Source organism: Homo sapiens, chromosome 6 (genome assembly GCF_000001405.40).
Source record: "Homo sapiens chromosome 6, GRCh38.p14 Primary Assembly".
Lineage (NCBI taxonomy): Eukaryota > Metazoa > Chordata > Mammalia > Primates > Hominidae > Homo > Homo sapiens.
The window spans coordinates 88,954,698-88,979,381 of record NC_000006.12 but is presented as its reverse complement, the minus strand read 5'-3'; the positions used below and the strand labels follow the sequence as shown (position 1 = coordinate 88,979,381).

General features: G+C 42.5%; 1 protein-coding gene across 5 annotated transcripts in view, besides 4 other annotated features; it reads left to right on the top strand.

Moving 5' to 3' along the window:
- Positions 5,897-6,518: an enhancer, noted in NCBI's record as "OCT4-NANOG hESC enhancer chr6:89682583-89683204 (GRCh37/hg19 assembly coordinates)". NCBI's record gives its function as "activates a minimal SCP1, AML or CMV promoter by ChIP-STARR-seq in primed H9 embryonic stem cells {active_cell/tissue: H9 hESC(primed)}" and the evidence as "EXISTENCE:reporter gene assay evidence [ECO:0000049][PMID:30033119]".
- Positions 15,467-15,701: a silencer, noted in NCBI's record as "fragment chr6:89673400-89673634 (GRCh37/hg19 assembly coordinates)". NCBI's record gives its function as "represses an EF-1alpha promoter that drives an FKBP-Casp9 reporter gene in an ReSE screen in K562 erythroleukemia cells {active_cell/tissue: K562}" and the evidence as "EXISTENCE:reporter gene assay evidence [ECO:0000049][PMID:32094911]".
- Positions 15,685-16,064: an enhancer, noted in NCBI's record as "active region_24817". NCBI's record gives its function as "activates an Ori minimal core promoter by ATAC-STARR-seq in GM12878 lymphoblastoid cells {active_cell/tissue: GM12878}" and the evidence as "EXISTENCE:reporter gene assay evidence [ECO:0000049][PMID:35858748]".
- RNGTT (RNA guanylyltransferase and 5'-phosphatase) overlaps positions 15,764-24,684 on the top strand; it is a 353,722-nt gene continuing 344,801 nt past the window's right edge. For all 5 annotated transcript variants that reach the window (NM_001286428.2, NM_001286426.2, NM_003800.5 and 2 more), the window contains exon 1: positions 15,764-16,036. Coding sequence is in view for 4 of the 5 variants with exons in the window: in NM_001286426.2 (NP_001273355.1) it covers positions 15,973-16,036 (64 nt within the window). In the remaining variant the exon portion in view is untranslated. The remainder of the gene's footprint in view (positions 16,037-24,684) is intronic.
- Positions 16,419-17,345: an enhancer, noted in NCBI's record as "H3K27ac-H3K4me1 hESC enhancer chr6:89671756-89672682 (GRCh37/hg19 assembly coordinates)". NCBI's record gives its function as "activates a minimal SCP1, AML or CMV promoter by ChIP-STARR-seq in naive H9 embryonic stem cells {active_cell/tissue: H9 hESC(naive)}" and the evidence as "EXISTENCE:reporter gene assay evidence [ECO:0000049][PMID:30033119]".

The window sequence follows — 24,684 nt, the reverse complement described above, 5'->3', positions numbered from 1 at the left end:
TACAAAAAAGAAAAAATTAGCCAACGTGGTGTCTTATGCCTGTAGTCCCAGCTACTCAGGAGGCTGAGGCAGGAGGATTGCTTGAGCTCAGGAGTTCAAGGTTACAGTGAGCTATGATTGTGCCACTGCACTCCAGCCAGGTGACAGAGCGAGACTTTGTCTCAAAAAGAAGACGGGGTGGGCAAATTACATGAATAGACACTTCTCAGAAGAAGAGATACAAATGGCCAACAAATATATGAAAAAATGCTCAACATCACTAATCATCAGGTAAATGCATATTAAAACCACAATGAGATATCTGCCACCTTACCCAGCCAGAATGGCCATTATTAAAAAGTCAAAAAACAATATATGTTGGTGTGAATGTGGTGAAAAGGGAACAATTATACACTGCAGGTGGGAATGTAAATTAGCATAATCTCTATGAAAAATTTCTCAAGTATGGAATATGGAGATTTCTCAGAGAACTAAAAGTATACCTACCATTCGATCCAGCAATTACACTACTGGATATCTACCCAAAGGAAAAGAAGTCATTATATCAAAAAGACACCTGCATGCATATGTTTACTGTAGCACAATTCACAATTTCAAAGATGTGTCACTAACCTAAGTGCCCACCAGGTGATGAGTAGATAAAAGAAATATATATATACACCATGGAATACTACTCAGCCATAAACAAAAACAAAATAATACCTTTTGCAACTACTTGAATGGAACTGGAGGCCATTTTTTTTTAAATTTTATTTTTTATTACTTATTTAAAATTTCTTTTTCATTTTTTAAAATAGAGATGGAGTTTCGTCATGTTGCCCAGGCTGGTCTGAAACTCCTGGGCCCAAGTGATCCGCCCACCTCGGCCTCCCAAAGTGCTGGGATTAGAGGCGTGAGGTACCACGCCCAGTGGAGGCAATTATTCTAAGTGAAGTAACTCAGGAATGGAAAACTAAATACTGTATATTCTCACTTATAAGTGGGAGCTAATCTGTGGGGACACAAATGCATACAGTGTGGTATAATGGGCATTGGAGACTCAGAAGGGGGGACGGTGGGAGGGCAGCGAGGGATGAAAAACTACATATCGGGTACAATGTACACCATTCAGGTGATGGGTACACTAAAATCTCAGACTTCACCACTGAACAATTCGTGCATGTAACCAAAAGCCACCTGAACTCCAAAAGCTATTGAAATAAACTATATATATATATTTATATATATGAAGTGCCCATATTTTATCCTAGAATGTAAAGTTTTATTTATTTTAGGTTTAGATCTTTAATTCATCTGTAATTTGTTTGGGGATGAGGAGTCAAATAGAAATCCAGTTTCTTTTTTTTTTTTTGAGATGGAGTTTCGCTCTTTTGCTTAGGCTGGAGTGCAGTGTCGCGATCTCGGCTCACCACAACCTCCGCCTCCCAGGTTCAAGTGATTCTCCTGCCTCAGCCTCCTGAATAGCTGGGATTACAGGCATGTGCCACCACGCCTGGCTAATTTTTTGTATTTTAAGTAGAGATAGGGTTTCTCCGTGTTGGTCAGGCTGATCTCGAACTCCCAACCTCAGGTGATCCACCCGCCTCAGCCTCCCAAAGTGCTGGGATTACAGGCGTGAGCCACCATGCCCGGCGAAATCCAGCTTCCTTTTAAACCTAAATGGCAAGCCAGATGTTGTAATAACATGTATGGAATAATCAACTCTTCTTTCTCCACTAATTTGGAATGTAATTCCCAAATATTTTGGGGTCTACTTTTGGGTTCTCTATTTGATCTATGTTAATAAAAATAACCATAACAACATAAAATAAACTCCTTGTTCAGGAGGAACTCTGCTGGTTCAGAGTTGTTGTGTTGGCAGAGGGAAGGCAGGGTGTGCCAGGCAAGGTGTCAGAGCCCCAGTATCAGGATCAGCATGGGTTGGTAAAAAGAATTTACCTTTGGAGGCCGAGGCAGGTGATCACTTGAGATTAGGAGTTCGAGACCAGCCTGGCCAATATGGCAAAACCCCCGTCTCTACTAAAATTAGAAAAATTAGCTGGGCGTGGTGGTGCATGCCTATAATCCACCTACTGGGGAGGCTGAGATAGGAGAATTGCTTGAACCCAGGAGGAAGAGGCTGCAGTGAGCCGAGATCATGCCACTGCACTCTAGCCTGGGCGACAGTGAGACTGTGTCTCAAAAAAAAAAAAGAAAAAAAAAATTTACTGACAACATTATAGTTTTGAAAAAGGAAAGTTTTATTAGAAAGAAAGCAAGCTGCAGAAGAGTGCAGCAGGTGCCTCAGTGAGAGGACTGAGCATGCCATGGTAGATTTTTCCTTAGGAGCATTTATGGAACTTAAGGCGGGAGCTTAAGGGTAATTTGGACTACATTAGCTATGCAGGTCATGATAAATAATTACATTTGTAGACATTTTGGTGCCTTAATGTCAGCAAGGGTGGCGCAGTAAGTTTCAGCATGACATTCTGGAGATGTCTAGAATAGATTCTAGTTACTTATAAATTTTCTTGGGAAAAGAAATCTGGAACCAGATGCTTGCTTTAGATACTAGGGAAGTCTAATTACTTTTAATTTCCCCAGATAGAGTGTTTGACAGGCCTCAGATGGCCTGTTTGATAGTCACCAGGTGGTCTTTGCTCCCTTCTAAATGCCTCAGTTAAGCAGTTTTTGTCTCTGGGGCCTGTTCAGTGGTCACCAGGTGACTTTGCTCTCCTCAGGGGTGAAGTTAACTTTGCTCATATTTCCTTCTTTGCAGTCCCTAGCAGTGTTGAAAGAAAGGGAAGGATATGGACGGTAATTTTTAAAGCATCTATCTCAGTCTCTGCCTTTCTACAAAACTTCATGATTCTTTCAAACTAAATAACAAACAGAGACTCTCTAAAAGAAAATGATGTTTATTTGGGAATAGAGCACTGCATTGGGATTTTGTGTACCATAGTAAACTATGTGCATGTTCAGGGAGGTAAAGCAAGACAAAGGTGTTTAAAGGAAAAAATGAGAAAGATTACATAGTTGTTTTGAAATAATTATCCTTGCGTACAGAGTTCAATAACAGGGGTGATTGAGGCTGGATAGGCATTACTGGAAAGATGTCTCCCTCTGTTGCCCAGGCTGGAGTGCAGTGGTGTGATCTCGGCTCACTCCAACCTCCACCTTCTGGTTTCAAGCAATTCTCCTGCCTCTGCCTCCCGAGTAGCTGGGATTACAGGTGTGCACCACCATGCTCTGCTAATTTTTGTATTTTTAGTAGAGATGGGGTTTCATCATGTTGGCCAGGCTGGTCTCAAACTACTGGCCTCATGTGATCTGCCTGCCTCAGCCTCCCAAAGTGCTGGGTTACAGGGGTGAGCCACCATGCCAGGCCTGCATAAGTATTTTTTGCATAAGGTTGTGATGGCCTTTGTGCAAGGTTGTGGTTTTTGCAGTCTTTTGTGATGGCTTCTGTTATCAGGCACACACACATGAGGGCCCTCTTTTCATACCCTTTACCTGGCTCTATTTGTCAGGATTTGTTTTTGTTTTTGGTGGCGGTGGTTTTTAAAAAACAGAAGTGACTCCATTTTGATTCTGACAACTTTCACAGTTCTCAGAAGGAAGACATACAGCAACCAAATTCCTGGGGCAACCAGAAACTGGAAGAGGCAAGGAAGGATCCTCCCTTAGAGGCATTAAAGAGAACATGGCCCTGCCAACACCTTGCATATGTCTAGCCTCCAGAACCAGGAGAGAATACATTCTTCTTGTTTTAAGCCACCCAGCTTGTGGCCTTTTGTTACAGCAGCTCTAGGAAACTGATGGGCGCCCTCTAATGGGAGGTGAGCCTCTAGAGTCCGAGGGCATTTTCTGGGGCGGACCCCTGGTGAGTGAGGACTATGGAGATACTGGCAGGTATGTTAAGTTAATGCTTGCCACCTCCAAAGGGATACCTCATGGTTGCTGCCTTTGAAGACCTCAGTGCTCTTAAAGCAAACAGTGATTTAGTATTTGTGACTGAATGAGTTCTTTAGAACATTCTTTTTGGGCATTAAAAGCTCAAGAGTGTACCAGGTAAATTCTCTTTAAAATAACTTGGGAAAAGTTTGCTGAATTTATACCAAGGTTAGAGACTTTGGTTCAGAGAACGCTGGCTCCAGGAGCTTTAGAACCAGAAAGCATCAGTTAGAAGAGGGGCAGGTCCAGGTTTTGCGTGGCTTTGTATTAGTTTCCTAGGGCTATTGTAAAAGAGTACCAAACACTGAGTGGCTTAAAACAACCGATGTTTATTGTCTCACAGTTTTGGAGGCTAGCGGTCTGAAACCAACGTGTTGGCAGGGCCGTGCTCCCTCTGACAGCTCTAGGGGAGAAACCTCACTTGCTGCTTCTAGCTTCTGGTGTCTGCCAGCAATCCTTGGCATTCCTTGACTTGTAGATGTGTCACACAGCCATCTTTCCTCTGTGTGTCTTCATGTCATCCTCCCTGCCAGTCTTTACGTCCATATGTCCCCCCTCTTACGAGATACCAGCCATACTGAACTAGGGCCCAACCTAATGAACTCATTTGCACCTGATAACCTTTATACAGACCCTATTTCCAAAGGTGGTCATATTCTGAGGTACTAGGGGTTAGGACTTCAATGTATCTTTTTTTTTTTTTTTGAATTTTGAGACAGGGTCTTGCTCTGTCGCCCAGGCTGGGAGTGTGGTGGTGCAATCTCCGCTCATTGCAACCTCTGCCTCCTAGGTTCAAGCAATTCTCCTGCTTCAGCCTTCTGAGTAGCTGGCACTACAGGCATGTACCACCACACCCAGCTAATTTTTGTTATTATTATTATTTTTTTTTGTAGAGGCAGGATTTGGCCATGTTGCCCAGGCTGGTCTGAAACTCCTGAGCTCAAGTGATCTGCCCACCTCTGCCTCCCAAAGTGCTGGGATTACAGGCATGAGCCACTGCACCCAGCCAAGGACTTCAACATATTTTCAGTGGTGGACAATTCAACACATAACAGTTTTGAACTTAAACAACTTGGTGTGGGAGGGGGGAGGTAAGAGGGGAGCATATCCCTTTAAAAATATCCTTTTCAATGATATAAAATTACAAATAACTAATTTGGCCTTGGGAGGAGCTTATGCAAGTAAGAAGCCTCATAGTAAGTTTTCTGGTATCTTCTGTTGGCAGGTATCATTTGACAACAATGAAGTAATATCACATCCATATTTAATTCCTATGAATTTACCTGTACAAGTGTGGGCATACAAGAGAGAGAGGCTGCTTGTTGTTTTGCTCCCTGGACCTGTACCATGGAGTAAGATGTGAACTGAGACCTTTTGGAGAGGAGCATCAGGCTGTGAAAAGTGTGATTCTGTTGTTTAAAGATTGCTATTTTTTATATGACGGGGCCTACATGCTAAAGACTTCAAGTGGTGCTCCGATGAAAAAAACAATGGAGGGTAATTCTGAGTTTTTCTTTTGTCCAAAACCCTGAGTTTAGAACCTGACCTCTATGTGAGATGGGACTCTAGCGTTCTTCCTCAGCTCTAAACTTAACCCAATTTGATCTCCTTCTGAACTTCTCCCATCCACCAAAGCTGGTACAGTACAGGAAGGAGGCGGAGGTGGTGGGTCATCAGTATGAGAAGGGAGCTAGGCACATAGGCACCAGCTCAGTCCCTGCCTGGTAGAGATGAGGATCGATCAAAAAAGCAACACTGTTCAGTCTCAGAGGGGGTACATTTCTGTAATAGCCTTTAATAGTTGAGTAAGGCATAAACACCTGTTGGGGAAAAAGTTAGCAAAAAAACCTCCTGTCAACCCAGAAAATTCTCTTCATAAATGTAGGGGAAAAAAAGAGTTGTATTATTGAGTAGGCATTAAACCAGACTGAGATGTGCATCACAGGCCATCCATTCATGAGATTGCAGAGACAGAAAGAAACCTCACTCTTTTACATATCCAAGTACATACAATCCTTTACATACATGTTCTCAAGATAAACAATAACTTGTCCTTATAGAGGAGGACTTGGTAGTATCATTTGTTATATACTCATGGTTCATCCTAGGTTCACTTGGTTATTGGCAGTGGCCATCTGTGTTAGTTAACTGCTGTTATCTGAAAGAAAAACAAAACTCACTCCTAACACAAACAGGTAGTTACTGAGAACAAAGAGCCTTAGGCTAGGGTGACAGGAAGATAGGGGCACTATCTTACTTGATGTTTACATTTCAAAGAGATAGTGGAGGTGGGAGGATCTCTTGAGCTCAGGCGTTCAAGACCAGCCTGGCATAGTGAGATGCCATTTGTAAAATAAAATAAAATAAAAAAAAACAAGACATACTTCCCAGACCCTAAGAAAAACACTTCTTGTTGTAAGGGCTGTAGGGCAGGCAAGAGGCTCATTTTGCTTTTGAAAAGATTTATCTGCATATCAGCTGGGTGCTGTGGCTCACACCTGTAATCCCAGTGTTGAACAACTTTCTTCTTGGTTCAGCTAAGAGCTGGGTCCTTGCCACATGGCCATGAAATATTAGGCTCGCAGACACGTGGAAGGGTGAGAATAATGAAATTTACTGGGCAAAAAGAAAAAAAAGGGAAATGGGGACTCTCTGCAAAGCCAGAGTCCTGCAAGTGTGCTTCCCAGCTCACAGATTGAATCCCAGGTTCCACTCAGGAAGAGGAGGGGCCAGGCTCTTCCCCCCTGCAAATGGTGCAAACTTCCCGAGGCTCCACCCCAGTGTACACTTCTCCCAGTGCACAGGCCAGCTGGAGTTTCTCCAGGGACCCCTTTATACTTGGCTGTACATTGCGAGGGAGGAGCTACCTGTGCTCTGAGAATGGGCAGGTCCCCTTTCCCGGGCTGGGGTGAGGAATGGGGACCAGGGAACACCTGCCTGTCCAGGAAGAGTATCCGTACACCCTAGAAAGAAGCTGAGCAGCCTCTGGAGGTGACACTCCAGAATGAGTGGGAGGGAGCTGCCATTTAGCAGGTGTTTAGCGGTCTGTGCTCTAAAGAAGTCCATCTAACTGCCATTAGGATAAGCATGATGACCAATCTTAACTGCTTCCTGCTGTTAAGGGGGGCGATGTTTGGGGAAACAGCAGTTAGAGCTGCCTCAGAGGCCTATTTAAGGGTTCCTAGCAGAAGGGGCCGTCATCAGAGGCTCTGGTTGTGTGATTGTTTGGAGTTTGATGGCCTGAAGGCAAGAAGAGACAAATCGGGTTATTAGAAAACATGTATTAAAATGAAACAAGGGGAGGGGTAAGGGCAGCTCAAAAATCCCAAGGCCTTTTACCAGTTTGCATGGGGAGAGGGAGGCCACAAGCCCTACTGGTAGTAAACTTGACCCTTTTGCCAGCATGTTGGGCTTCTTCCAACATGGGTTCCCTTCTTCCAACAGGGCGTTCCCTTCCCCTGAGCCTAATCCTAAACCAACCAGTTTAAGGTTTGGGAAATTAACCTTTCCAGTTTGGAGGATGCATCTGAGGGGAGTGTCCTGTAGTACGAAGATGCAATTACCTATCTGTGAAGAGAGGACAGAGGAGGAGAGAGGAAAAAAGAAGGAGCTTTTTAAAGGAGTCTCAGGGGTTCAGGATGCATTTGAAAAAGGTACAGACTGAAGATGAATGGCTACCCATCTAAAAGAACGGGAGCAGGAGTCTCTTGTTCCCTTCTCTTCCTAGCAGATACCCCAGGTATGTGAGGGAGAGAGGGAAGAACATTCTCTTTCCCACTTCTGTCTTTGCATCCCTGCGTCCCGGTGACCTTGTCAGGTGCTGCCGTGGGTGCCAAAGTGGCTTGCACCCATGAAGCAAGGAGGGCCTAGAAAATAGGAATTATCTGATCTCACCACTGTTTCTATCCCACCTACTGTCAGTAGTCTGGAGTTCCCTAGACCTTATTTATGCCATGGATACTAGCATGATCTTTATCCATGAAACAGGAGGCTTGGCTTAATCGGCAGGAATCAGCCATGCTCACCTGTGCTGTGCCTTTAAACTTCTGTTATCGTCTGCCTCTGCATCCCTCAGATCCAGTTTTCTTTCCTAGGGCTTTAACGCAAAGCTTGGAATTGAGTTTGGGACAAAAATGTGTCTAGGGTGGGGACTGCATGAACTCCTTCTCATAAGCCAAATGCTAAGGTGAAACTGTGGAACTGAGTCCTCCTCCAACAAGGGAGAGAAAGGGATGTCTTGTGACACACCCAGATAACTGGTGGCTATAGTTATGCTTGCTTAGGATTTGGGCACATCGTGCTTGACTTTGGTTAGCTCCCTTGGTCTTACTTTCCCAAAAAGGAAACCTCTGAGTGATGGGCATCCTATTTATTCCCATCACCTGGCAGGATTTGAAGGATAATTGGTCAGAACTAGAATATTGGTCTGGATTTTTACATTACCCATCCCTCTTGTTCTTTCTGGGCTACAGCCAGAGATTGCTGGTTGGTTCACAGGAACAAGCAGGGTTAGTTTAAAATGTAGGCAAAAACTTACAGACAACTAATGAGTTTATAATTTAATGACAAATGTATGATAAGTTTTGAAGCATAATTTCTCTCTCTCCAGTCCTCATTTTTGTTAAAAAAAATTATGGTAGGACTGAGTTGTTTGCAAAATAGACTTTAGTCTTATACTTGGCCTGCATAAAGTGCAGCAAGAGTAATTATTCCTATACAGGCCTTTTGGATTGGCTTTGATAGAAATCTGTTTTACAAGGAATCTCAGAGAAGGCCTTTTAAAGCTGAGCCCAGCCTTGGGTTTGTATCCTTAAATACCTGTGAGTTGAGTGATCCTCTCCTTTTAAAGTCCTAAGATAAACTTGGAGCCCCTAGGCCTGTTAGAAAGTGACATTCTTTACTGACCACAGGTCAGGAACCCTGTACAGGGACTGCGTAGACAAGGATATGAGGCCATTTTTTTTTCCCCAAGGGGCTTTTATTGGCTCTGCAAGTTGAGACTGACTCCTGAAAGAGAAGCATACCCTTCAGTCAAAGCCTTGGTAGAATAACCAGTTTCTCCAACTGTGTCCTGTTGCAAAAGAAAAATGGATTCTTACTGCGCTGATGCAAACAACTATATTGCCATAAGTTAAGAATACTCACAGATAGTTTCCAAATTCTGGAGAAGCCAGGCAGAGAGACAAATATGCTCCAATGTTGCGGGAAGTCAGGGACCCCGAACAGAGGGACTGGCTGGAGCCGCAGTACAGGAACATAAATTGTGAAGATTTCATTTTAATATGGACATATATCGGTTCCCAAAATTAATACTTTTATAATTTCTTATGCCTGTCTTTACTTCAATCTCTGAACATAAACTGTGAAGATTTCATTTTAATATGGACATTTATCACTTCCCTAATAAAACTCTTATAATTTCTTATGCCTGTCTTACTTTAGTCTCTTATTCCTATTATCTTCATAAGCTGAGAATGTACGTCACTTCAAGACCACTATTGTGTCAAACTGTACAAATTGATTGTAAAATGTGTGTTTGAACAATATGAAATCAGTACACCTTGAAAAAGAACAGAATAACAGTGATTTTCAGGGAACAAGGGAAGACACCATAAGGTCTGACTGCCTGCTGGGTAGGGCAGAATAGAGCCATATTTTTCTTCTTGCAGAGAGCCTATAAACGGACAAGCAAGTAGGGAAGATATCGCTGAATTCTTTTCCTAGCAAGGAATATTAATAATTAAGAACCTGGGAAAGGAATACATTCCTGGTGGGAGAAGTCTATAAACAGCTGCTCTGGGAGTGTCTGTCTTATGCAGTTGAGATAAGGACTAAAATATGCCCTGGTCTCCTGCAGTACCCTCAGGCTTACTAGGATTGGGAAACCCTGCCCTGGTAAATTTGAGGTCAGACTGGTTCTCTGCTCTTGAATCCTGTTTTCTGTTGTTTAAGATATTTATCAAGACAATATGTGCACAGCTGAACATAGAACCTTATCAGGAGTTTTTGATTTTGCCCTTTGCCTTGTGGTCTTTGCTTTGCCCTTTGCCTCGTGATATTTATTGGCCTAGAAGCATATGATCTTTGTTCTCCTTTTTGCCCTTTGAAGCATGTGATCTTTGTGACCTACTCCCTGTTCATACACCCCCTCCCCTTTTGAAGTCCTTAATAAAAACCTGCTGGTTTTGCGGCTCAGGTGGGCATCATGGACCTACCGGTATGTGATGTCGCCCCTGGTGGCCCAGCTGTAAAATTCCTCTCTTTGTACTCTTTCTCTTTATTTCTCAGACTGGCCGACACTTAGGGAAAATAGAAAGCACCTTCATTGAAATACTGGGGGTGGGTTCCCCCGATACTCCAAATTTTGTTCACAGGAGTATACCTTACTCAATTATTAAAGGGTGTAAATAGTTCAAAGTAAGTTTCCTTGACTCTGAAAAATAAGGGTCAGCAATATTCTAAGCAAAAGTCAAAAAGATTGCTTCAGCTTTCTGAGTTCAGTCAATTTAGTTCTTGATTTGCTTGATATTCATGAACATTTCAGCTCTTTGTGAGTCTTGTACATTTTTCCTTTTGTTACAATCTCCAAAGTCATCAGAAATTGGTATTTGAGAGCACCTGTTAACGTTCTATAGCTCATTATAAATCATCTTTTGAAAAGGATTAAAACAAGACAACAATTGTCTGTGAATAACAAAATGTCCAGGGTAGTTACAGTTAGAAACACAATTGACAAAGAAGTTTGGTTATCTCAGACATTAGAATTTTAGAAATCCCATACAATTTTGGAACATATATTAGTATTATTCACAATAATATAACCTAAAGAAAACTGGGCCGGGTGCAGTGGCTCATGCCTGTAATCCCAGCACTTTGGGAGGCTGAGGAGGGTAGATCGCCTGAGGTCAGGAGTTCAAGACCAGCCTGGCCAAAATGGCAAAACTCTGTCTCTACTAAAATACAAAAAAATTAGCTGGGCATGGTGGTGGGTGCCTATAATCTCAGCTACTTGGGAGGCTGAGGCAGGAAAATCACTTGAACCTAGGAGGCGGAGGTTGCAGTAAGCTGAGATCGTGTCACTGCACTCCAGCCTGGTTACAGAGTGAGACTCTGTCTCAAAAAAAAAAAAAAAAAAAAAAGAAAAGAAAAAAAGAAAACTGAACATTATTTTGGCAATCCCACATACCTAAACATGTCAACTAATCCTGTTTACATTTCTCTTCTGGACACTCTAGGGTCCTTCTGGAGCCTCTGAAAAGCCAGGTGTCAGGAAAGACAATTTTGAAACTGAAGTTTGATTTTTGGGAAGCCTGTTAAATATGTTAGTGGTTTAAAACACTTGATGTTATGAAATAGAATTCCAGATTTCCATAAATTATTTATTTTGCCAAAATTACTCAGAAATTTTAAAGAAGCAAAAACTTTTTATAACCCTTTACAAATTTTGCTAAAGTGCAGATTAGTGCCTTAAGAAAACTTTGTTGTGCTTTTATTTCAATGCTCAATTTACTTTTGAATTTAGCCAATGTTCACACACAGCATTTCTTTTGCAAGATTAATTTTAACCTTCCAGAACTTGTTTAAACCTTTAGCTTTATCTTACCTAATTTAAAACAATTCCCTAACCCTAGGCAAAAATTTACATTTCCATGCCTTCCATTACCTTTTACTAAAAAACACATTTTACTGTTCTTACACACCTTGCATGTAAATCTATTTTCAGTAGTTTCAATTATACATTATAATGGTAACTCCTAGCAATTTTAACTTTAATGTAAAACCTGGTAAGTTGTTTTAATTGTGTGCCAGGTGCAGCGAAGTTTTGACTCCTTCTAGCATAATTAATGACATGGTTAGTTCCATATGTCCCCAGGCCTTATCAATTGTGAAGCCAGCAAGTCAGATAGTTCTCAAAACTCAAAAAGCAGTTTATAACATTAAAACATTTAGCAAGACTAGTACCTAACCTGCATAATTTAGTCCACCTATTTACATTTTGATGACATCTGTTTTTTACCAATAATCTTTAAGGCTGTTTTTATTTCTCAAAGATTAAAGTCACATGAACTGAAAGGTACCACATCTTTTACCTTCCCTTTAAAAAATATATGATCTAAGCACTTGTCTTCCTTTAGGCCAATTAGAGTTTTTTTTTTTTTTTTTTTTTTTTTTTGAGACAGAGTCTTGTTCTGTTGGCCAGGCTGGAGTGCAGTGGTACAATCTCAGCTCAATGCAACCTCTGCCTCCTGGGTTCAAGGGATTCTCCTGCCTCAGCCTCCCAAATAGCTGGGACTACAGGCACGTCACCACACCTGGCTAATTTTTGTATTTTTAGTAGAGACAGGGTTTCACCATGTTGGCCAAGCTGGTCTCAATCTCTTGACTCTCAAATGATCTGCCTGCCTTGGCCTCCCAAAGTGCTGGGATTACAGGCATGAGCCACCACACCTGGCCTTAGAGCTCCTTTTTTTTTTTTTTTTTTGAGATGGAGTTTTGCTCCTGCTGCCCACGCTGGAGTGCAATCTCCACCTCCCAGGTTTAAGTGATTCTCCTGCCTCAGCCTCCCAAGTAGCTGGGATTACAGGCATGTGCCACCATGCCTGGCTAATTCTGTATTTTTAGTAGAGATGGGGTTTCTCCAAGTTGGTCAGGCTGGTCTTGAACTCTCGACCTCAGGTGATCTGCCTGACTCAGCCTCCCAATGTGCTGGGATTACAGGTGTGAGCCACCGTGCCTGGCCTTTGAGCTCTTTTCATAGACATCATGTACACAACATATATATAGCTACACAGACAGGCAGAAGAAAACCAGTCCCCATAAGATCCTTTTTCACAACCAAACTTTAAGGAGAATATAAACAGGGATCCTTATCATTCCTAGCCTAGTGAAAAAGAAAAAAAACATCTGGTTTAAAAGTTAACTGTTGATGGGGTGAAGAAAAAAGGATGCCTGGGGGAATAAACCTTTTATTCTTAGGCAAATGGTTCCTCTACCAGGGAGAGAAGCTTATCAGATGGAGTTGAGCCTTGGCCAGGGAAGGGGAAGATGCTGTGGACATGTGGCATTCCCCAGCCCCAGCTGGGAGGGGAGAGGGAATGAGGAGCTGCGACTTGCCTATCCTTCCCAAAAAACGAAGGCAAAGGCCATGGAAAGGCCCCTGACCCCAGGGAGCGATGGGAGTGGGGGCATGGTTTCCCTACCCTCAGAAGTCCACGCATGAAAAGGCTTAGAAATGACAGTGAAAAGTTTTGAGTCCCCGTGTCACTCAACCGCTTCTCAAGCCCCACATTGGGTGCCAAAGCTGTTGTACGACTTTCTCCTTAGTTCAGCTAAGAGCTGGGTCCTGGTCACATGGCCATGAAATATTAGGCTCACAGATGCCTTGAAGGGTGAGAATGGAATTTATTGGGCAAAAAGAAAAAAAGGGAAACAGAGACTCTCCCCAAAGCCAGAGTGCTTCCTGCCTGGTAGACTGAATCCCAGGTTCCACCTAGGAAAAGGAGGGGCCAGGCTCCTCCCCACTGCAAATGGCGCAAATTTCCCAAGGCTCCACCACAGGGTGCATTCCTCCCAGTGCTCAGGTCAAAAGGAGATTCTGCCAAGGAATCCTTCCCACCTGGCTGTCTTACCAGCACTTTGGGAGGCTGAGGTGGGAGGGCTGCTTGCAGGAGTTCCAGACGAAAAAAGTATAAAAAAGTTAGTGGGGTGTGGGGGCCTGCACCTGTAGTCCCAGCTCCTTGGGGGCTGAGGTGAGAGGATTGCTTGAGCTTGGGAGGTTGAGGCTCCAGTAAGGCTGCCCTGATCATGCCCACTGCACTCTAGCCTGGGTGAGAAAGTGAGACCCTGTCTGCAAAAACAAAAGATTTATCTACATATCAAAGTGAAGAGGAAGGATTAATAAATATAGGTTTTTCTCAAGGAAAAGTCCTAGGAAAAGGGAAGACAGATAAGATCTCTCTCTTTTGCCAAAAGAGAACGTTCAATCTTATTTTTTACATGTACACACTCTTCCTTATGGGCAAAATGGATGTTTGATGAAAGACTCACCAATGAAGAGAATCTACATCTGATAAAGAGGAGATCAAGACATATCTGGGAGGGTGTCAGGGGTTCCAGGAAGCGGGGGAGGAATCATGTTGGTCTGTCTGTGAGCATCTATTTTTCTTCTCACAGAGTAGTAGAAACTTGGGACTAGGAGCAATATAGGCAGAAACACACATCAGGCAAGGCATTCCTGACAGGCAGAGAGAAACTGCCTGCTCATCGGGATGCCACTCTCCTACTCTACTCTCTATTGTGGACAAAAGGTAGCCACAGGGTCCTCCCAATTCTGTGGCAATGAGTATGGAGAGGGCATAACTGGATAGCAGAATAAAAATCCAGTGCACATTGCTGCCTTACAGCCAATAACAGTTGCTCGCCAGTGGTATGAAGCTTCTGTGTGCCTAGGACTGAGCTACTGGGTATAGCGTGTGTGGGAAGGGGAGTCACCAAGGGGAGTCATCCCCAGAAGGGGAAGGTAAGATACTCTTCCAGGATCAGGCTCACCTTTCCCATCCTTGGAGGGGGTCTGGGGATGGAAGGTTTTTACCACTTTGGGCATGGTACACACTCTATCAGCAGAAAAGGGAATTCATCGGAGATTATTTGGGTAGACTGATGGCCTTAAAGGAAACTGGGTATTATCTTGTTCTGTCAGGGGAGGAGTTTACACCTTCACTAACAGTTCTGAGCAGATGCAACAGCAGGACAGACCAGAAGTGTGACCTAACTCAGGCTGCCTCAGAGAGATTGCTGTTGGACTGCCTCTATTGATGGGACTCTTACTGAGGGGGTCCAGGCATTCAGGGGGTTGAGCGTCCCAGAAAGTTCCCCACCGACGCTTTAAAAATGTATTCCCTGCAGCCTTACGTTCTTGCAGTTCCAATATAGCATTGGTGTTTAAAGCCAAACTACATTATAATTGATTCGCCATCATCCAGCTTTATATTTAACACTTTAATCTGGTAACAAAGGAAAGGCTCGTTAAAGGACGGCATTTATAAAAATTTTTCAAGCACCTCTGCTTAACTCGAAGGGAAAATAAAAGGCACTGTTTATTTGGTAGGCCAAGGAGAACAACGCCACGAAGAGGTTCTCCACTGATCAATTCCTACCTTTGTCAATTATACCACATTAATTAGTAACTTTTTTTGGAGACATGGACCCTCTCAAACTCCCCAGTATGCTTTGAAACTTTGATCCAGAAATGTACAAACAAAACTCTAAGTGTTCTGGAATTAATTTCAGAAGCTTCATAGATCCTCGTAAGTACTCACCAAAAGAAAAATTCCCCATTTCTGGTACTCCAATCTCATGTCCTTAGAATTCTCCTAAGACTTGTTCCCTTGAACAACTTTCCCTAATTGCAAATCAAACCTAGATCCGGCTGGGACGCCAAGCTTGAGCTGTGGTAACGCTCAGAAGGCCTCTTTTCATCAGTAAAATAGATGCCTTAACGGAAGTGGCGGGCAATCTACGCATGGAAAGGCGCTTGGCTTCCCTCTTTTTTGGGTTTCTCTAGGTTGTCTGGATGGGAAAAAAATACACGCTTCGTCCTGCGGAGTTCGGTACGAGGGCAATTGCACATGCGCAAAGGCGAACCAGTAGCGTCCGGGCGCGTCCGTGGAGCGGGACGGGGCGGGGCGGGGCGGTGCCGAGTGGGGCGAGAGAAGGCCCGCTCCTCCCATTCGTCGCGTCCTTAACTCTTTGCTATCCTTCCGCTGAGCTTCCTCTTCTTTCCCTCTGACCTCGGAAAGGGGGCGGGGCTTTCGGGGGCGGAAGTTGCGGTGCATTGTGGGTTCTCCTGGAGCTGTGGAGTTGATCCTGAATGAAAGTGGCGCGCCGCCCCTGACGTTACCCGGATCGGAGAGGTTGGAATTCAGATTACGGCTGCGATTCGGGTGTCTCGGACCCCGGTGTGCACCGGACCACGGGGAGGCGGCTCCAAAGGCGCGGTGAACGTTGGTGAGGGAGGGCAGCTCTGCGCAGCCCCAAGACATGGCTCACAACAAGATCCCGCCGCGGTGGCTGAACTGTCCCCGGCGCGGCCAGCCGGTGGCAGGTAACCTGGACTGGGGGGCGTTCGAATCCCCACACTCCAACGTGCCCGGGGGTGGGCCGACTGAGGAGCTCAGCTTTTGGTGGTTCTGTGCCCATTAGTGGTATTTCAGGAGCGGGATATGCTCCGTCGGATTACGCTTCGTGGATGAATGGGAACATGAACGGGAGGGGATGGTCGGCGGATGGGGGGCACTTGTTACTATTCCTGCAAGGCTAACTGTGCGAATGTGAAGGTAGACAGGAGGTTGGTGGCAGGAGGTGAGGATCCAGGAATACAGTGGGCGTACTTTGAGTCTTAGTAGTTTGCGAACCTGTTAGGGTTCAACCTTCCCCTCGAAAGAAGGGATGAATATCAGTATTGAGATGGAGGAGGGTTAAGGAGGGAAGGGGCGGTTCCCAGCGGTGAAATGGGGTCACATTGAGACTGGGAATCTGGAGGGTGTTTTTGTTAGTTTTTTATTTTTATTTTCTTGTGAGACAGGGTCTCTTGCTCGGGCTGGGGATCCTCCCACCTCAGCCTCCCAAGTAGCTGGGACTACATGCTCCTGCCACCGCACCCGGCTAATTTTTTTATTTATTAAAGTATATATATATTTATAATGTATATATTTGAGACATAGTCTCTCTCTGTCGTCCAGGCTGGAGTGCAGTGGCGTGATCTCGGCTCACTGCCTCAGCCTCCCAAGTAGCTGGGATTACAGGCGCGTGCCACCACACCCGGCTAATTTTTGTTTTTAGTAGAGACAGGGTTTCATCGTGTTGACCAGGCTGGTCTCCAACGCCTGGCCTCAAGTGATCCGCCCGCCTCGGCCTCCCAAAGTGCTGGGATTACAGCCGTGAGCCACTGTGCCTGGCCATAATTTTTTTGTTTATTTTTTGTGGAGACAGGGTTTCACTGTGTTGCCCAGGCTGGTCTTGAACTCGTGGACTCAAGCGATGCTCCCACTTCGGCCTCCCAAAGTGTTGGGATTATAGGCGAGAGCCACCCCGCTTGGCCGGGTTTTTGTTTTTTTTAATTATTTTTCTTGTAGTTTTTTTCATCTTTATTGAGCTTGAATACAATAAGCTTTAAAGCGTACAGTTTGATAAATTTTGACTGTATATACACAAATATATCTCTTTCCTAGGAAACAACCATGAAACCCCTCAAAGTTTCCTCTTGCCCCTTTTTAAATCCCTCCTTCGCCTGGCAGCCACTGATCTGCTTTCTGTAATTATAGATTGGTTTGCATTTTCTAGAAATTTTTAAATAAATGGAAACATATAGTGAGTACTCTTCTTGGGGTGGAAGGAAGTGTGTGTGGCTTTTTTCACTCAGCATAATTAATTTGATACTCATCCAGATTATGCATGTATCAATAGTTTATTCCTTTTTTATTGCAGAGTAGTAGTTTATTGTTCTGGGTATACCACAATTTGTTTACCTGTTCATCTATTGATGGTCATTTGGGTTATTTCCAGTTTTTAGCTATTACAAATAAACCTGCTGTGAACATTCATGTACAATTCTTTGTGTGGACATATACTTTCATTTCTCTTGTGTAAGTCTCTAGGAGAGGAATGGCTGCATCATATGGTAGGTGTATGTTTTAAGAATTTTAAGAAACTGCCAACCTCTTTTCCAAAGTGGTAACACTTGATAGTCCCACCATCAATGTATTATACAGAAGAAATTCAAAGGACTTAAAAACTAGCAAAAAATTTGGACACTTCACAAAATAAGTTATATGAATAGCCAAAAAGCTATGATGGCGTGGTGGTATGTGCCTGTAATCCCAGCTACTCGGGAGGCCGAGGCAGGGGAATCACTTGAACCCAGGAGACGGAGGTTGCAGTGAGCTGAGATTGCACCACTGCACTCCAGCATGGGTGACAGAGTGAGACTCCATCTCAAAAAAAAAAAAAAGTAATTTGTACTTATCGTGTAATTTATTAGTAAGGGTTCTCTAGAGGGACAGAACTAATAGGAAATATATGTACATATATATATATACACACACACACATACATACACACACACACATACAGACGTAAAGGGGAGTTTATTAACTGTTAACTCACACGATCACAAGGTCCCACAATAGGTTGTCAGCAAACTGAGGAGCAAGGAGAGTCAGTCTGAGTCCCAAAATGGAAGAACTTGGAATCCAGTGTTTGAGGGCAGGAAGCGTCCACCACAGGACAAAGATGTAGGCTGGGAGGCTAAGCCGGTCAAGTCTTTTCACATTTTTCTGCCTGCTTTATATTCTAGCCATGCTGGCAGCTGATTAGATGGTGCCCACCCAGATTAAGGGTGGGTTTGCTTTTCCCAGCCCACTGATTCAAATGTTAATCTCCTTTGCAACACCCTCTACACCCAGGATCAATATTTTGCATCCTTCAATCCAATCGAGTTGACACTCAGTATTAACCATCACAGTAATTTCTTTGATATTTTGCATATTGAGGAAAATGTTATGGCTGCTCAAACTTATATGTTGTAAATGTTAGGATTCACTTTACTAGTACTAGAAGTTCATAATTTTCCTGAATCAGAAAGAAAATGGTACTAACTACATATAATTTGTTTCTCTGTGAAGTCACTTTCTCTGATGAAACCAGACTTGCAATGAGAGAGAGCTCTTGGAGACAGGGCCAAGCTTTATTTTCTGAAGAACTGTTTTTTCCTCCTTCTGAGTTAATAGATTTCAGGTGAATACTTGGAAGAAAACAAACTTATAATTTCTTTTCCTTTTTCCTTTTTTTCTTTTCTTTTCTTTTCTTTTTTGTATTTTTAGTAGAGATGGGGTTTCACCATGTTGGCCAGGCTGGTCTCCAACTGCTGACCTCGGGTGATCCGCCTGCCTTGGCCTCCCAAAGTGTTGGCATTACAGGTGTGAGCTACCGCACCCAGCCCTCCCTAGTTTCTTAAAGATATATCATTCAACATAAAATTATTTCATATCTGCTATGTAAAGAGCTTACTAGGAACTGTGGGAATGTAAATATGAGACACAGCCAGGTGCATTGGCACATACTTGTGGTCCCAGGTACTCAGGATAGTGTGATGGTGATAGTGATGGTGATTTTGAAGTCATTTTATTTAGCAAATATTTAAATGTCTACTTTGTGCTAGTCCTGGGTGCTAGGGAGATGGCTAAGATATATTACCCTTAAAAAGCAGAGTCTCATGGGAGTAGCAAACCATCCATTTTAAGCACAGTTCTGTTGTAAAAAATGTAGCAATGACTCTATTGTGGTATATGATGGGAATCAGAGGTAATAAACCTAATTCTTTGAGGTTGAGGAAGAAGAGATGGGAAGGAAGAAGGAGATCAGGTGAGACTTCCCAGAGAAGGTCATACATGAATTATCTTCAGTAAATAGAAGTTTTCTAGATAAATAGTTGGCAGGGGGTGTTATTGAAAGTTTCTGTTAGGATAGGATGATGATGGGAGAGATAATAGACTGAAAAAGTGTCTTTGTTCTGGAAGATGTAAGTGAGGTTAAGAGGTTGGAGAATAGCCTGATCATACAGGCAAGTAGGGTGTGATAAGGTATCCTAATATTTATATGCTTTAAATTTTCAGTGGCATACAATTGCAGTTTTTTTTTTCAGCATCGAGATGAGATTATTTGAATCCAAGTTAAAAGCTTACTTTGACTTTTCTGTGTTTAATGAATTGATGGAGAAAAGAGTGGAAATGGAGAGACTAATTAGGAACTTGTTGTAGTCCAGGTGAAAGACAATAGTGATAGTTTAAAAGTGACAGATGAAGAGTAGAAGGCTAATTTGAGAGATATTAAGAAGGGAAAATGGACAGAACTTGATGTCGTATTTAGAATGAGGGAAAGAGGGTCAAAATTTAGTCTCAAATGTCTGGCTTATGCACATGAGATAGTTGATATTATTAGGGCTTACTGAGAGAGAAGCAGGTTGGAGGAGATATTAAGATCCTGATTGCTCAAATAGAGATCTTTAGTAAAGATCTTTTTAAAAAACATTTTTATGTTATTTCAGTAGTTTTTGGGGGACAGGTGGTTTTTGGTTACATGGATAAGTACTTCAGTGATGATTTCTGAGATTTTGGTGCACCTGTCACTCAAGGAGTGTACACTGTAGTAGTCTTTTATCCCTCATCCCCCCTCTCCACACTTCCCCCTGAGTACCCAAAGTCCATTATATCATTGTTATGTCTTTGCATTCTCATAGCTTAGCTCCCACTTACAAGTGAGAACACAGGATATTTGGGTTTCCATTCCTGAGTTACTTCACTTAGAATGATGGGGTCCAACTCCATCTAGGTTGCCATGAATGCCATTATTTCATTCCTTTTTATGGCTGAGTAGTATTCCATGGTATATATACATATCACATTTTCTTTATCCACTCATTGGTTCTTGGGCATTTAAGCTGGTTCCACATTTTTGCAATTGCAAATTGTGCTGCTGTAAACATGCCTGTGCAAGTGGCTTTTTCAGATAATGACTTATTTTCTTCTGGGTAGATACCCAGTAGTGGGATTGCTGGATCAAATGGTAGTTCTTCTAGTTCTTCAAGGAATCACCATACTGTTTTCCCTAGTGGTTGTAATAATTTACATTCCCACCAGCAGTGTAAAAGTGTTACCTTTTCCCCACATTCATGCCAACATCTAATATTTTTTGATATTTTAATTATGGCCATTCTTGCAGGAGTAAGGTGGTATCTCATTGTAGTTTTAATTTGCATTTCCTTGATAGTGATGTTGAACATTTTTCATATGCTTCTTGGCCAACTGTATATCTTCTTTTGTCTGTTCATGTCCTTTGTCCACTTTTTGATGGGATTATTTGTTTTTTTCTTGCTCATTTGTTTCAGTTCCTTGTAGATTCTGGATATTAGTTCTTTGTCAGATGCATAGTTTGCGAAGATTTTCTCCCACTCTGTGGGTTGTCTGTTTACTCTGCTGATTATTTCTTTTGCTGTGCAGAAGCTTTTTAGTTTAATTAGGTTCCATCTATTTATTTTTGTTTTTGTTGCATTTGCTTTTGGGTTCTTGGTCACGAACTCTGCCTAAGTCAATGTCTAGAAGAGTTTTTTCCAATGTTATCTTCTAGAATTTTTATGGTTTCAGATCTTACTTAAGTTTGAGTTGATCCATCTCCAGTTGACTTTGTATAAGGTGAGAGATGAGTTTCATTCTTCTACGCGTAGCTTGTTAGTTATCCCAGGACCATTTGTTGAATAGGGTGTCCTTTCCCCACTTTATGCTTTTGTTTGCTTTGTCAAAGATCAGTTGGCTGTAAGTGTTTGGCTTTCTTTCTGGGTTCTCTATTCTGTTCCATGGGTCTGTGTGCCTATTTTTATACCAGTACTATGCTGTTTTGGTTACTATAGTCTTGTAGTATAATTTGAAGTTGGGTAATGTGATGCCTTTACATTTGTTCTTTTTTGTTTGCTTACCTTGGCTATTTGGGCTCTTTTTTGGTTCAATGAATTTTAGGATTGCTTTTTCTGGTTCTGTGAAGAATGATGATGGTACTTTGATGGGAATTGCATTGAATCTAAAGATTGCTTTTGGCAGTATGATCATTTTCATAGTATTGATTATACCCATCTATGAGCATGGGATGTGTTTCCATTTGTTTGTGTCATCTGTGATTTATTTCAGTAGTGTTTTGTAGTTTTCCTTTTAGAGATCTTTCACCTCCTTGGTTAGGTATATTCCTAAGTATTCTATTGTTATTATTTTTTTTATGCAGCTGTTGTAAAAGGGATTGAGTTCTTGATTTGATTCTCAGCTTGGCCATTGTTGGTGCATAGCAGTGCTACTGATTTGTGTACGTTGATTTTGTATCCTGAAACTTTAAAGAATTCATTTGTCAGATTTGGGAGCTTTTTGGATGAGTCTTTAGGGTTTCCTATGTATACAATCATATCATCAGTGAACAGTGACAGTGTGACTTCCTCTTTACCAATTTGGATGCCCTTTATTTCTTTCTCTTGCCTGATTGCTCTGGTGAGGACTTCCAGTACTATGTTAAATAGAAGTGGTGAAAGTAGCATCCTTGTCTTGTTCCAGTTCCCAGGGGGAATGCTTTCAACCTTTCCCCATTCAGTATAGTGTTGGTCATGTGTTTGTCATAGATGCCTTTTATTATGTTGAGGTATGGCTCTATTACCTTGAGGTACGTCCCTTCTGTGCCAGTTTTGCTGAAGGTTTTAATCATGAAGGGATACTGGATTTTGTCAAATACTTTTTCTGTATCTATTGAGATGATCATGTGATTTTTGTTTTTAATTCTGTTTATGTGACGTATCACATTTATTTTTATTTTATTTAGTTATTTTTGAGACAGAGTCTTGCTCTGTCACCCAGTCTGGAGTGCGGTGGCACCATCTCAGCTCATTGCAACCTCTGCCTCCCGGGTTCAAGTGATTCTCCTGCCTCAGCCTCCTGAGTAGCTGGGACTACCTGCCACCACGTCTGGCTAATTTTTGTATTTTTAATAGAAGCGGGGTTTCACCACGTTGGCCAGGCTGGTCTTGAACTCCTGACCTCAAATGATTCACCCACCTCGGCCTCCTGAAGTGCTGGGATTACAGGCAAGAGCCACCACGCCTGGCCAACATTTATTGACTTGTGTATGGTAAACCATCTCTGCATCTCTGGTATGAAACTCACTTGATCATGGTGTATTACCTTTTTGATATGCTTTTGGATTTGGTTAGCTGGCATTTTGTTGAGGATTTTTGCATCTATGTTCATCAGGGATATTGGTCTCTAGTTTTCTTTATTGTTATATTGTTTCCTGGTTTTGGTATTAGAGTGATACTGGCTTCATAGAATGATTTAGGGAGGATTCCCTTTCTCTGTCTTTTGGAATAGTTTCAGTAAGATTGGTAGCAATTCTTCTTTGACTGGTAGAATTCAGCTGTGAATCCATCTGGTCCTGCACTTAAAATTTTTAAATTTTAATTTAATTAATTTATTTTTGTTTTCTTGGACTTTTTTCTTGGCAGTTTTTTTATGACTGTTTCAGTCTTGCTACTTGTTATTAGTCTGTTCAGAGTTTCTCTTTCTTCCTGATTTAATCTAGGAGGGTTGTATATTTCCAGGAATTTATCCATCTCCTCTAGATTTTCTAGTTTGTGCATATAAAGTATTCATAGTACTATTGAATGATCTTTTATATTTTTGTTGTATCGGTTGTAATATCTCCTGTTTTGTTTCTAGTTGAACTTACTTGAATCTTCTTCTTTTCTTGGTTAATCTTGCTAATGGTCTATCAATTGTGTTTATATTTTCAAAGAACCAGCTTTTTTTTTTTTTTTTTTTTTTTTGAGACAGAGTCTCGCTCTGTCACCCAGGCTGGAGTGCAGTGATGCCATCTTGGCTCACTGCAACCTCTGCCTCCTAGGTTCAAGTGATTCTCCTGCCTCAGCCTCCCAAGTAGCTGGGACTACAGGTGGCCCGCCACCACACCCGGCTAATTTTTTTGTATTTTTAGTAGAGATGGGATTTCACCATGTTGGTCAGGCTCAAACTCCTGACCTCAAATGATCTGCCTCCCTTGGCCTTCCAAAGTGCTGGGATTACAGACGTGAGCCACTGCACCACATCCAGAACCAGTGTTTTGTTAATCTTTTGTGGATGTTTGGTATTTTTTGTTTGTTTGTTACAGTTTAGTTCTGCTCTGATGTTTGTTACTTCTTTTCTTCTGCTGGGTTTGGGTTCAGTTTATTCTTGTTTCTCTAGTTCCTTGAAGTGTGACCTTAGATTTTCTGTTTGTGCTCCTTCAGATGTTTTGGTGTGGGTTTTTTTTTTTTTTTTTTGAGATGAGTCTCACTCTGTCACCTGGGCTGGAGTGCAGTGGTACGATCTTGGCTCACTGCAACCTCCGCCTCTTCTGTTCAAGCGATTCTGCTGCCTCAGCCTCCTGAGCAGCTAGGATTACAGGCGCCCGCCACCATGCCTGGCTAATTTTTTGTATTTTTAGTAGAGACAGGATTTCACCATGTTGGCCAGGCTGGTCTCGAACTCCTGACCTTGTGATTTGCCCGCCTTGGCCTCCCAAAGTGCTAGGATTGCAGGCATGAGCCACCACGCCTGGTGATGTAGGTATTTAATGCTATGAACTTTCCTCTTAGCACTGCTTTTGCTGTGTCTCAGAGGTTTTGATAGGTTGTGTCACTGTTATCATTCAGTTCAAAAAATTTTTAAATTTCCATCTTTATTTCATTGTTGACCCAAAGATTATTCAAGAGCAGAAATTTTAATTTCCATGTATTTGTATAGTTTTAATTTTTATTTATTTATTTTTTCTGAGATGGAGTCTTGCTCTGTCACCCAGGCTGGAATGCAATGGTACGATCTCAGCTCATTGCAACCTCTGCCTCCCAGGTTCAAACAATTCTCCTGCCTCAGCCTCCCTAGTAGCTGGGATTACAAGCCCGTGCCACCATGTATTTTTAGTACATGGCTGGCTAATTTTTGTATTTTTAGTAGAGGCATGGTTTTATCATGTTGGCCAGGCTGGTCTTGAACTCCTGACCTCAGGTGATCCACCCACCTCAGCTTCCTAAAGTGTTGGGATTACAGGCATGAGCCACCACGCCTGGTCGTGTATTTGTATAGCTTTGAGGGTTCCTTTTGGAGCTAATTTTCAGTTTTATTCCACTGTGGT